The 11,928-nt window shown below is 56.3% G+C and overlaps 2 protein-coding genes across 2 annotated transcripts in view, besides 9 other annotated features; one reads left to right on the top strand and one right to left on the bottom strand.

The window, feature by feature from the left end:
* The window catches only part of RASSF4 (Ras association domain family member 4), a 36,090-nt gene that overhangs the window by 12,258 nt on the left and 11,904 nt on the right, over positions 1-11,928 (bottom strand). Inside the window, exons 3-4 of the mRNA NM_032023.4 lie at positions 11,786-11,861; positions 971-1,113 (exon numbers count right to left, since the gene is read on the bottom strand). Coding sequence (NP_114412.2) covers positions 971-1,113; positions 11,786-11,861 — 219 coding nt within the window. The remainder of the gene's footprint in view (positions 1-970; positions 1,114-11,785; positions 11,862-11,928) is intronic.
* Positions 2,524-3,225: an enhancer, noted in NCBI's record as "H3K4me1 hESC enhancer chr10:45475857-45476558 (GRCh37/hg19 assembly coordinates)". NCBI's record gives its function as "activates a minimal SCP1, AML or CMV promoter by ChIP-STARR-seq in naive H9 embryonic stem cells {active_cell/tissue: H9 hESC(naive)}" and the evidence as "EXISTENCE:reporter gene assay evidence [ECO:0000049][PMID:30033119]".
* Positions 3,006-3,075: an enhancer, noted in NCBI's record as "active region_3320". NCBI's record gives its function as "activates an Ori minimal core promoter by ATAC-STARR-seq in GM12878 lymphoblastoid cells {active_cell/tissue: GM12878}" and the evidence as "EXISTENCE:reporter gene assay evidence [ECO:0000049][PMID:35858748]".
* Positions 3,226-3,929: an enhancer, noted in NCBI's record as "H3K4me1 hESC enhancer chr10:45475153-45475856 (GRCh37/hg19 assembly coordinates)". NCBI's record gives its function as "activates a minimal SCP1, AML or CMV promoter by ChIP-STARR-seq in naive H9 embryonic stem cells {active_cell/tissue: H9 hESC(naive)}" and the evidence as "EXISTENCE:reporter gene assay evidence [ECO:0000049][PMID:30033119]".
* Positions 4,559-4,853: an enhancer, noted in NCBI's record as "tiled region #8316; HepG2 Activating DNase unmatched - State 1:Tss, and K562 Activating DNase unmatched - State 1:Tss". NCBI's record gives its function as "activates a minimal TATA promoter and a strong SV40 promoter by Sharpr-MPRA in HepG2 and K562 cells {active_cell/tissue: HepG2 | K562}" and the evidence as "EXISTENCE:reporter gene assay evidence [ECO:0000049][PMID:27701403]".
* Positions 4,825-7,506, top strand: DEPP1 (DEPP autophagy regulator 1). The gene is made up of 2 exons (NM_007021.4): positions 4,825-5,016; positions 5,579-7,506. The coding sequence occupies exon 2, from the start codon at positions 5,604-5,606 to the stop codon at positions 6,240-6,242; it is 639 nt and encodes a 212-aa protein (NP_008952.1). The 5' UTR covers positions 4,825-5,016; positions 5,579-5,603; the 3' UTR covers positions 6,243-7,506.
* Positions 7,445-8,148: an enhancer, noted in NCBI's record as "H3K4me1 hESC enhancer chr10:45470934-45471637 (GRCh37/hg19 assembly coordinates)". NCBI's record gives its function as "activates a minimal SCP1, AML or CMV promoter by ChIP-STARR-seq in primed H9 embryonic stem cells {active_cell/tissue: H9 hESC(primed)}" and the evidence as "EXISTENCE:reporter gene assay evidence [ECO:0000049][PMID:30033119]".
* Positions 8,406-8,625: a silencer, noted in NCBI's record as "silent region_2342". NCBI's record gives its function as "represses an Ori minimal core promoter by ATAC-STARR-seq in GM12878 lymphoblastoid cells {active_cell/tissue: GM12878}" and the evidence as "EXISTENCE:reporter gene assay evidence [ECO:0000049][PMID:35858748]".
* Positions 8,686-8,835: an enhancer, noted in NCBI's record as "active region_3319". NCBI's record gives its function as "activates an Ori minimal core promoter by ATAC-STARR-seq in GM12878 lymphoblastoid cells {active_cell/tissue: GM12878}" and the evidence as "EXISTENCE:reporter gene assay evidence [ECO:0000049][PMID:35858748]".
* Positions 9,785-10,446: an enhancer, noted in NCBI's record as "H3K27ac-H3K4me1 hESC enhancer chr10:45468636-45469297 (GRCh37/hg19 assembly coordinates)". NCBI's record gives its function as "activates a minimal SCP1, AML or CMV promoter by ChIP-STARR-seq in primed H9 embryonic stem cells {active_cell/tissue: H9 hESC(primed)}" and the evidence as "EXISTENCE:reporter gene assay evidence [ECO:0000049][PMID:30033119]".
* Positions 10,447-11,109: an enhancer, noted in NCBI's record as "H3K27ac-H3K4me1 hESC enhancer chr10:45467973-45468635 (GRCh37/hg19 assembly coordinates)". NCBI's record gives its function as "activates a minimal SCP1, AML or CMV promoter by ChIP-STARR-seq in primed H9 embryonic stem cells {active_cell/tissue: H9 hESC(primed)}" and the evidence as "EXISTENCE:reporter gene assay evidence [ECO:0000049][PMID:30033119]".

Here is an 11,928-nt window from a genome sequence, read left to right as displayed (position 1 = left end):
CTAGAAGGGCCCAACCTCCAGGCCTCTTGGCAGGATGAGCCCCAGGCCAGGGTAGCTAGTGCTGGGCTGGAGAAGGAGTGGGTATGATGGGGCACAGCCCTGTAGCCCAGGGGACCTGGGGAAGAGAAGACAGATGGGATCCTGGAGAATACACGGGCACAGCCGCGACTGCTGTCTGTGAGTGCTTTACCTCGAAGAGGGGCACATGTGAGTCACACTTGCAGCCTTCCTAAGGAGTCTGACTTTATGCTCTAATTCTGTGTGCCTCAGAATTCGCTGAGTGACTGGGGACACCTAGGTATGTGCTGGGGCTGTCAGGGTGGTGGGTGCTGTCACAGCATGGGTTTCATATGAAATCTGAAGGGGGCAAAGCTCTGAATGTGTGCCCTCTACAGGAGTTACTACTGCAGAAGCAGGCAAGGCCCAGCTACTAACTGCGTCTTTTGGGAGTGGGCCGAGGAGGAGATAAATGTGCATTGAATGGTAAGGCAGGCAGGAGACCATTTCCTCCTGACAGAAACATTATTCTGATATTAAACAAATGTAATGTGAAATTCTGATAAATTTATTTTTAAAATTTTGACATTAAAATGAAAACAGAGTAGTAAGAGGCTAAATTCGTGTGAATTTTAAAGATAGAACAAGAGATGGCGAGACATGTTCGGCTTGCATAGGTGTTGGGAGCCCCCCTGGCTGTAGTCGTCCCTTCTTGCCAGCAAGGTGGCTTGCAGGAAGGTTTGAGAAACAGAAATAGAGGTCATGGGAGCCTGGAATGTTCTCCAGGAAGGAGGGAGAGGCCACCCTGGGCGAGGCTGTGGACTGAGGCAGTCACAGGGCATGGGGATGAGGCTGGGTCACCCTCCTGTGCCAGTGTCCCATAAGGGAACAGGGCTCCCACCCTGAGGCTCGGGATATCCCCAACCCGGGAGCTCAGGCTGAGCAGGTGTCACAGAAGCCACCGGGTACTCACAGAGGGCAGCTAGGCCGTCTGGGCATCCATGAGGTGGAGGGGAGGTGCACCTGCTCCCGGTCATCCTGCATCTGCAGCCGGATGGGCCGCCTCAGCCCCCAGGCAATGTTGAGGAGCCCCTCGATGATCAGAGTCCCTTCTTCCTGTGGGGGTCCACACATCAGCCCTTCCCCCAGAGCAGCTGCCTACCTTCCCTGTGCCCCCTAGGGATGGGATGCTCTGAACACTCAGGCCTTGCACATCCCTCCTCCTGAGTGGCCCCATCCCCTCAGGAAGGACCATCAGCCACTACGTGCCCTGGGGCGTGTGACCAGGCCCTGTGGGAGGGAGCCTGAGATGTGCTCAGCTCATGCCTGGCCAGGGGCACAGCGCAGAACACAGTGGCTGAGTCAGGTGTCCCACAGGAAGCCAGCTGCTGGCCGGCAGGCACGTCCACACCGCGGTGAAGAAGTGGTTCCAGGGACGCACAGCCTGTCTGCTCATGCCAAGCAGGGGACCTCTCTGCCCACACTGCACCTGGGAGGGGGTCCTGCGCCACCAGGTCCTATGGCCACCAGGCCCGGCAGGGTCCCACACCCACCAGAGGAGAAGTGGGCACTCTCTGTCCTAGCTGTGTCTCAGCCTCACCCTTCTCCCGGTGCCTTCCAACAGCAGCAGCGTCCACTTGCCAGGGCTGACAAAGGGTCTTGCTTTTCTCACCACTGCTTAGACATCACTAGCCCTATATCCCATACCAGAATTTCTACAACAGCCTTCATCCCATGTCCCCAACCTCCCTCGGTTTCCCTAGGTCTGCAGGTGACATGGCTTCTCTCCTGCTGCCAACCTGGGGCCCTAATCAACAGAGTCCTCTGCACGCACCTTGCTAGTAGTGCTGGTTGGCACCCCTTGGGCCCTTGATTCAGTGCCTCTGACCTATTCCAGGCCTCTGTCTCTGCGAGACCACCCCAGGCCTCTGTGCCAATCCCGGTCACTCTGTGTGTAAGCCTGGCCAAGCTGAGTCATTTGCCAGAATACTTGCCAGCAACCTCAGCTGCCCTCTACCCAGAGCCGCAGTCTCGAAACTACACACTCCTAATGTGCTCTGACACTAGTCTTCCCACAATTAACTTTGAATATCATTCTCTCATTGCCATCTCAACCAACATTTAATTTTATTATTTATGTTTTATTGTGATAAGGACATTTAACATAAGAACTACCCTCTAAACAAACTGTTCAGTGCACAATACTGTATTGTTCACTGTAGGCACAACGTTGTCCAGCCCATATCCAGGACTTACTCATCTTGCATAGCTGAAACATTATATCAGCTGCACAGCAACTCTCCACTTCCTCCTCCCCTGCCCCAGTCCCTGCAACCACCATTTTCACTCTCTGCCTCTATGAGCCTATTTTAGATTCCTTATATAAGGGAATCATGCAGTATTTCTGACCCATATTTTAGATTCACAAATCCCATTTCTCTCTCCTCGTTGGCACTAAAAGCCCTGTGAGAACAGGGACGCCATGGAAACTTCTTTGTATCCCTGGCAGCACTCAGGAAGACCCTGCACAATGTGGATTTCATGGTAACTTAGAAATGGGGTTTCTAGGTTCAAACATCCTGCCATCCACAGAGAAAATAGTGTATCCAAAGGTTATCAAATATACACACAGCTTCCAGATATGACCTTGCACTATCTGCTAAAAAGGAAAACAAACAAGCAGAAACCAGAGCTGTTTTTGATACTCACTGGTGCTCTACAAGCACAGATGTGTCACTGAGCTTCCTATGAAGGAGAGGCCAGCATGGATCTATGGAGTTCAAAGGTCTATGGGGGGTTCTGTTCTTGCCTCTTGGTCTCGGGTGCCTCTCAGTGGAGAGAGCTTGTGGGGATGGCTCACTCATGGAGACCCACTGCCCTCCAGCCCCACCCTGGACGCCAGGCAGAGGAAGATGGAGCAGACACAGCCCTGGCCACGAGGGGCTCGGGCTTGGACGCAGAAGGAGATGCAATGGAGCTTCTTGGAGGAGGTGCTTGTGCACTGCACCCTGGAAGACGAGTGAAGGGGGACAGGGAGGAAAGCTGAGCAGGTGGCCCTGACCTCAGGACCTGCCTGGACAAGGTCGGGGGCTTGGCTGTACTGGGGACAGGCTGGCTCTCCATGACTCAGGCCAGACATGCCTACACAGGTGATGTGTGTGCCCCCAGCATAGCCGCCCACTGTTCACCCTCCCCCAGCTTGGCCGCATCTGAATGGAGGGAAAGCCCCGTCAGCCAGCAGCGAATTCTCCGCCTCCCTCCCTCTTTTGGTCTCTTGACTAATCTGCTCATTGCTAATAAATTCAAAGAAGAGCCAGCGAACTAGACAAAGGGTCTACAAAAGATATAAGAGCTTGGGCAAGGTGAGAAGTGCCATGTGCCACTGAAATCCTGGTCACTGTCTCAGGCACTCCCTGCCCCGATGCCTTTGTGCACATGGAGTTCCCACCTAGAATTCAAGAACTTGGGACTGCCGGTCCCTCTTGCTTGCCTAGGGAGTCTGGGGTCTGCCCAGTACTCAGAGCTCAGGCTTGGGCTAACTCTCAAGACTCCTCTTTCTCCCCCACCTGCAGCACAGGCAGGCGTGTTCCAGGTGGGGCTGTGGCTGGGGCAGAGGATCTGTGGCCTGTCTGGGGAGTGCAGGAGCTTCCCAGGGGCTGCCTCTCTCATCCTTGGCAGCCTCCTTTGCTGGCATGGTCACTCCTGGACAGATGCAGTGGCTTTCTAATGTTGCCCAGGTGCTCCTTGGCAGCCCCCCAGCCCCAGCCCCAGCCCAGTCCCAGCAGCTGCAGCGATCCTTTGAAGCAGAAGCCAGACTGCAGTGCCCTTGTTCAAACCCTGCAGTCTTTCCCTCCCTCCTAGAGGGAAACACAGCATCCACCCCAAGGTCCACTGACCCCCTCCTACATGGGCCAGTCTGCAGGCCCCTTGCTGTGCCCTGAGCATGTCTGTCCGGCGCGCCCTCACCACAGGGGCTTTGCACGTGCTGCCCCTGCCACCTGGAATGTGCATTTTCCCATTTTTTTCAGGTTTCTGCTCCAATATCTGCTCTTAGGGAAGACACCCCTGACCACTGTACCTGTGGCGGCAGCCCACCACAGCATGCCACTGCGCTGCTTTCCTTCAGGCAGTTCTTGCTGTTGCCTGAATCACAGCACCCATTCATCTCTGGCTTGATCTCCTCCCTTACTAGAATATGAGCTCCAGGGGGCCACACCTTTGTCCGCTGCTACGTTTGCTGTGCTTAGTGCATTCACAGCACACACTAGCACCTCATATCTGGTGAACAAGTAAACAAACAAATCCTCCGAAAGCACCCCATCTGGGGTGTAAGAAGACCAGGGTCAGACCCCGCAGACCGCCCTTGGTCCCTTGCGAGCAGGGTGTGTCTCTCCTAGGAGCAGGCCTAGGGACCCAGCCTCAGCTGCCTCCAGACTGGGGTCCTGTGCTGCTGATTTTTCATCAAAGTTGCCAAGGACCTGGCCCAACTTCACAGGAGTCATGATGGGGTGGTGTAACACAGAGTGGGAAACAAGCTTTGGGGCAGGGGTGGCCCTGGGGCTACCTGTGAGGGCCCAGTGGAACCCCTCCCTCTCCCAGTGCCCCTACTTGACCAGCAGTGAACCCACCCCTTTCCTGCCCTGCAGCGTAAACATTCCCCAGCCTCCTACAGGCAGAAAAACACCTCCAAGCTGGCAGCTGGGCCAGGCCCCGCCCACCAAGCTGTTTTCCTAAGACAGCCTTCCGAGCAGGCTATTTTTGGCCCTCGTGACAGTGATTGATAGCTGCTGGGAAGGTATAAAAGCAGCTTGCCTGCGAAGGTTCTTCACACTGCTCAGGGAAGAGCCTGCTACGGTGGACTGTGAGACTCAGTGCACTGTCCTCCTCCCAGCGACCCCACGCTGGACCCCCTGCCGGACCCTCCACCCTTCGGCCCCCAAGCTTCCCAGGGGCTTCCTTTGGACTGGACTGTCCCTGCTCATCCATTCTCCTGCCACCCCCAGACCTCCTCAGCTCCAGGTAAGAGAGAGCAGCTGCCCTTGGGTTTGAGACAAAACACAAGGGCTTTGTTTATTTTTGAGGGCAATTCCCAGCCTGAACTTGCACAGCCTCCCTATGGGTTAGAGACCAGGGCTGTCTGTAGAGGGCTTTGCATTTATAAAGGGATTCAGGGGTTATTTCATGCATTTCCTACAACATCCCGGCCAGGGGTATTTATAACCCTGTTTTATGGATGGGTAAGTGGAGGCCTGGAGAGGTGGCCTTGCCAAAGGTCCCATGGTCAGTGCGTGGCCGATCCTGGTTTTAAACCCAGCCTTCCTCTGACCAGTGTTTGTTAGGTTAGGTTCTCTTATCTGTGCACATTCTGAAACGATAATGATAAAATCTTAAGCCTTTGGGGTTTTTAACCTGAACAGGAAGAAAAGATCCCAGCAGTCGGAGCTCTGGTCTGGGCTCTGTAGACTTCAAATTGCTCTCAGGGCACCGGATTCCTACAGGCAGCCCCAGAGGAGTGTGGTGACGCTGAGGGGCGGTGGGACGCATGGCAGGCCCTCACCACCAGGCTTCTGTTTCCCAACAGGTTGCCACCTCCTCTCGCCAGAGTGATGAGGTCCCGGCTTCTGCTCTCCGTGGCCCATCTGCCCACAATTCGGGAGACCACGGAGGAGATGCTGCTTGGGGGTCCTGGACAGGAGCCCCCACCCTCTCCTAGCCTGGATGACTACGTGAGGTCTATATCTCGACTGGCACAGCCCACCTCTGTGCTGGACAAGGCCACGGCCCAGGGCCAACCCAGGCCACCCCACAGGCCAGCCCAGGCCTGCCGGAAGGGCCGCCCTGCTGTGTCCCTGCGAGACATCACCGCACGTTTCAGTGGCCAGCAGCCCACACTGCCCATGGCTGATACTGTGGACCCCCTGGACTGGCTTTTTGGGGAGTCCCAGGAAAAGCAGCCAAGCCAGAGGGACCTGCCAAGGAGGACTGGCCCCTCTGCTGGCCTCTGGGGTCCACATAGACAGATGGACAGCAGCAAGCCCATGGGGGCCCCCAGAGGGAGGCTCTGTGAAGCCAGGATGCCTGGGCATTCCCTGGCAAGACCACCGCAGGATGGGCAGCAGAGCTCTGACCTAAGAAGCTGGACTTTTGGGCAGTCTGCCCAAGCCATGGCCTCCCGCCACCGCCCCCGCCCCAGCAGTGTCCTCAGAACACTCTACTCGCACCTCCCGGTGATCCATGAACTCTGACCCCTCCCCAGTAAAGGCTTCTGTAGAGAGCATGCTGGGTCTGCATCTCCTCTCGTCTCCTCCATGGTGGTCACTGCCCCTGGCAGGTCTCTGAAAGGGAAATGCTTTTCTGCAGAGGCCCCTGCTTGGGCAGTTCACAGTGAGACCGACCCCCTCTGAATATGATAACAGCCTGTTTCACATGAGGAGATGTTACCAATCCCGTTCGCTCTGACCCTTGCTGGCTGATCACCTTGAGCAACTTACTTAACATCTGTGTTCCTCAGTTTCTCATGGGTAATATAGGGATAATTACTGGCACCTGCCTCCCAGGCCATTCTGACGTGTAACCGCATATAGGAGCCCACTGGCTGAGTAGCTACCATCATCGCTGGTGGGGAAACTGGTGGTAGGGGTGTGAGGGTAGTGGGGGTGTCAGCCCCCCAGGTGTTTCAGAACAAGGCCTCGGGCACTCCCAAGTCTGCCTCTTGGCTCCCACCCTCAAAGCCCATGTTCTGTGAGGCCCAAGAGAACACATGGAGTCTTAGCAAATGCACTAATGTATTCCGGGGGACTGTCACCTGGCACCACTGGGGCACTCTGCTGGCTACAACTCATACGTCCTGTGGTGGCATTGGGAGAGTTCCCCCATGATGAGGGCCAAGATAGAATCTGTACCACTCAGTGCTACCATCCCCACCCCTACACCACTTCCACACAGGGGCCTCATGGCATGGTCAGGGTCCCAGCTGTGGGTGAGAGCAGGGCACTGTCCAGCTGTCCACTGGGGAAGTCAAGATGTCCTAAGGCCCAGGTCAGGGCATCTGGAGTCTGAAGGACCCTAGTTCCTAGAGGCATCTGGCAGCAAGAAGGTGAGGCATCAGGGAACGGGAATCAGGCTGGGACTGATCAGAGGTGAAGGGACAGAGAGAGGAGAGGAGGAAGATTGAGCTGGGGGCAACAGCCAAGCTCACCTGGGCAGGTCTCTGCCACCTCCTTGCTCTGTGAGCTGTCAGTCTAGGTTATTCTCTTTTTTTGTGGCTATTTTTAATTGCTTTGGATTTGTTAAATGTTTTCTGTCTTCTGTTAAGTGTGTTTTCTCTGGAGATAGAATGTAAACCATATTAAAAGGAAAAAGTTTCAGACAAGCAATTACCCAGTTTCCTTATCTATAAAATGGGGACATCAGCAATGTTCTTCACACCCTGCAAGGGCTGGGAATCTGCGCATGTGAACTTGGAGCTGCATTTATGAGCACTGTAGACAAATGTTTGTATCTGTCACAGCCCACTGTGTCTCTGTGGTGGTCTCAAACCTGCAGGTCCCTGACTTTGGGCAAACGTGTGGGGCAGCCTTTAGCCGGGGCAGCCTTTAGCCAATCATCATCCTCGGGAGAGATCCAGAGGGCCCACCCACCAAGGCAGAGGGGTTGAGGTCCGGGCTTGCTGGGCCCAGCCTCACTACAGCCCCTTCTGCAAAGCATCATGAAACGGGGTCAGAGGGAGAGTCCGGCAACTAGGATGAGGTCAGCAGACTCCCCTATGCTCAGAAGCCACCTCGCTGCATCTGGGGAGGTCTGGCAGTTTGAGGAGACCATCCCCGGGCTTCCTCACTAATACCCAGCTGTGTGAAAGAGGTCAATGGCACCTTTGGAAGGCGCTCCCTCCCAGTAGAATACAGGTTTGTGGTTGGGGCTTCTGGCAGTGTCCCAAGCTCCTGCAGAGAGGCCCAGGGGAATTCCTTTCCCTTCAAGCTAAGCCTCCTGGTGGGGCCCTTGTAGAGCAGTTACATTCTCCTTCCTTCTTGCCACTGGGGTGGGGGTGGGGAGAGTGGAAAGGGAGGTAGAGAGGGGAGTGGAGGTGGGGGTGGGAATGGAGAGGGGAGTGGGGCTGGGGGTGGAGAGGGGACTGGAGAAGGGAATGGAGAGGGAAGTGGGGGTGGGGGTGGGAGGTGGAGAGGGGAGTGGGGGTGGGGGTGGAAGGTGGGGATGGGAGGCGAAGAAGGGAGTGAGTGGGACACAAGGCACTGCCCAGAGCGGGCAGGCTGGGAAGCGCTTTGCGGCTCCCAGAAAACAGATGTTCGTGGGGCTGGCCAGTCACTCCAGGGGCCAGTGGTCTGCCAGGCCTTCGGAGAGGGGACGGGGCAACTCTCTCAAGGCGGGATGCTGGTTTTCCGCACCCCTGGGAGAGACGGAGCCCCCGGACCAGGGGAAGCCCCTTCCGTTTCTCTCATTGCTGAGGGGTCCCTGGGCCGAGGAGCGGGACTGGATGTGGAGCGCGCCCGCGGTCACCAGGGGGCGCCCCGGAGCCTCGGCGCCGCGCCCCAGGCGGGCGGGGCCGGCACACAGTCCCCAGAAAAGGTCCTGCCGCCTGGGGCTCACTTGCTTGTCCAGAGCCATGGGTTTACACAAGGACATTTCCGGGCGGTCCTTTTTTCTTTTGAGATACCAGCCAGCCTGGCTAAAGCCCTTTGCCATCTTCAAAAGGCACAGATTGTTCCCCGTTGCTCAGGCTTTTTGTTGTAATACAAGCAAAATTATCCCAAAGGCGAGGTTCATGATACAGGAAGTCGGCGCCTCAGCCTCCAGAGATGGCGTCCCTCCTCTAGCCCCTCGGAAGCGGGGAGAAGGCTCACAAGGAGCCGCTGGTCCCAGGGCGTGACGCTGGCCCCAGAGCGTGGCCCTGCCCACCTTCGGAGAAGTGGGATGAGACAGTGGAGGAGAAGGCACCCCAAACCGTACTGCTAAGGCTGCCGGTGCTGCGGGTGAGGGGCAGTGACAACACGGGGGGGTCTCTTTCAGGCGGCTCTGGGAGCGCGCCCCGGGTGGTGAGCCCTTCGCCAGCCTGAGAGCCCCTTAGCTTGGGGCTCAAGGGCAACAAACAGCACCCTGTGTCCCTGAGACCTGTTCACTGATACTGGGTGGAGACCTCCAAAGCCTAATGGAAACGGTATTGCTGTTTTGTAAGTGGCTGTGAGCTTGGGGCCATGGCCAGCACCTTTCATTTACTGCAATGTGACCTTGGACTAGAGACTTAAACTCTGGGAGCCTCCATCTCTTTGCCTGGAAAATAATCATTCCTATATCACCTTATATTAAACAAAGGAGAGGCAAAGTGCCTGGTGCATTGGAGGTTCTCTGGGGAAGTGTCTGTTCCTCTTGTCTGCCCAGCCCTTGGGGCCTGTGGTGCCTGAGGAGAGACTGGCCTGGGATGGCCCTGCCCCTGCAGCAAGTGCCCAGTGGCCCAGGAGGTCGTGGTGGGTGCATCACAGGGTGGCAGTGAGACCTGGAGGGGCTTGGTGCCCCAGGGACCAGTTGTGCCTATCAGTGTCACAGCCTAAAGCCTCGTCTTATGTGGTAATTGCGACCCAGCAAAAACACACACTTCTTCAGGCCGGTACCGGTACCCTGGGCTGTTAAGGCTACAGAATTTTCCTGAAAGGTACTTTCTGACTCCATGGAGACCGGGTCAAACCCTTACACTTTCTTCAGCGTTAGGGACAGGAAAATCCCCCTAGTGGGTTAACTTTCTATCATTAAGGGCTGTCAAGAACACCTCTTCCCAGCCCGAGAGTCCCCTACTTCTCTATGTGGGCTGTCCCGCAGCATACACCAACACACACAAACCACAAACGCAGGGTGGAGGCTCTTGGGGCTTCCCGCTCCCGCGCCCCTGCCCCCGACAACTGTTCCTACAGAGGGGATTATCTTGGGGAATCCCGAGTGCCAAAACTAAGCTCTTACTAGTGGTTTTCAAACTTGACCTTCCACCAGAATGCCCTGGAGGGCTCCTTAAAACTTGGACGGGAAGACTAAGTGTTTTCGGTTCAGCAGGCTGGGAGAGGGGCGTGGTAGGAATTTGCATATCTAACCAGTTCCCAGGGCAGCTGGTGCTTGGACCACCTGTGGAAAGCCACCTGGGATTTAGATCAATCCCTGAACAGCCAGAGCTGAAGAACAGCAGTGACCACACCCCAGGCCTCCACCAGAAGATATGAAGTGGCGTGTGTTAACAGCACAGGTGGAAATCCCTGTGGTGCCATCACCCTCTCCCCAATGCCTCCCTCTACCCAGCACACTGGAGCTCAGGACCGAGGACTCACCCCAACTCTCTCCAGGCCTACACCTGCTGCTTAAGTCACCCACCAACTCTGCACAGGGACCCACAGGGTGCCCGGCCTGGGGAGTGCAGGATGGGGGCAGGCAGGGTGAGACAGGTGTCACAGAAGTGAGCATGAGGAGGTGGGATGGCAGGAGAGGGAGGGGAGCAAGCTGTGGGGCCTCGCAGCCTGGGCAGGTCAAGGAGGCAGAGTGTGAGGTTTGTACCATGCCTGGTGGTCACAGGCAGCCCAGCACAGCTTGGACCAGGAGCCAGAAGCTCCTGAAGGGTGTGATGTCTGGCCTGGCCAGCCGAGGGGACGCCTCAGGGGCTGGCTGAGGCCGTCTGGCAGCAGGTTCCAGCCGGCCCTCTGATCTGCCACTGTCTGGCAATCCCCAGCTGCCCAGAGTTGCCTGGATGCCTGGGCTAGCTCTGGCCTGGGAGCTATAGAAGGGTGTCTGAGTTACTGAAGAGGGAGGACTAGGACTAGTGAGCCAAGACTAGTGAGGAGAGAAAGTCCGGGAGCCAACCCAATCTCAACTGCAGAACCCCCCAAAAAACAGCCTCACCACGATAAGACTTGCCATTAGGCGGTACAAATATGTTGAATTAGACCAAGATAGGGCCACAAAGCCCAACCAAGATTCCCGCATGAAACATCAGAGGATGTGAATGACCGCAAGACTAGGGCTCCACTTGCCCTGCCCAGTGGGTGGTCCCCCAAGCCTAGGCCCTGCAGAGTCCAGCCAGTGCCCAAGGGCTGTGTTTGGCATCAGACATGTATTTAGCCCACATGATGTTTCAAGATTTGGGAAATTCCTCATGAAATTCCAGATAATCTATCCTCTTCTGAAAAATCAGAAAGGGTCTGGCTGCACCAGGCCCACGGTCCTGCACAGTAGGGATGGTTTGATCTGATGGGCGGCTGACTCCTTGAGTGGAGACCCACTCCCCACACCTGCGCTGCCTGCTGTGAGCATCTGAGCCTATAAGCCCCTGTGTAGCCCCACACCCCACTTTACAAATGAGAGTACTGGGGACCAGGGGCCACAGGTGAGACCCTGCAGATATGTGGCGGGACCAGCAGGGAACAGAGAGGGACTGACTCCTCTTGTCCGCTGAATGGTGTGATGGGCTGAGGACGGACCTGTTCTCGGCAGCAGTTCACATGGACAAAGGTCTCGGGGGAAGGGGAAAGGGGGAAGACCCCCAAGGTGATTTCTGCCACTGGGAACTCTGGAAGGGATGCACTGACCCTCTGCAAGGGAGATGACCTGGCTGCTGGTAACCTGGTCCCTGGCTCAGGGTCAGAGGTGAGTGATGAGAGTGACCATATAACTTATTGTCCAAACTAGGTCACTGCTGAGAGTGAAGGGGATGGTCTTCATCATTACCCTGAAACAACAGGTATCAGGCAGGGCCTCCCAGGGTACATGGTGACCCCATGAACAAGAGCAACAGGCTCACCTCACGGTGTCTCAGCTGGAAGCTCTTGCCCTCATGGTAGCAGTTGTAGGTTTTCAGCAGGCCTAAGAGCTCCGACCTAAAAAGGGAAAGACACACATGTACTCCTAGGGTGTGGCAGGGCCTCAGCTTCTGGCCTTTGGCTT

Source organism: Homo sapiens, chromosome 10 (genome assembly GCF_000001405.40).
Source record: "Homo sapiens chromosome 10, GRCh38.p14 Primary Assembly".
In the NCBI taxonomy this organism is placed as follows: domain Eukaryota; kingdom Metazoa; phylum Chordata; class Mammalia; order Primates; family Hominidae; genus Homo; species Homo sapiens.
The sequence above is the reverse complement of the archived record's forward strand: the minus strand, read 5'-3'. Positions and strand labels throughout refer to the sequence as shown.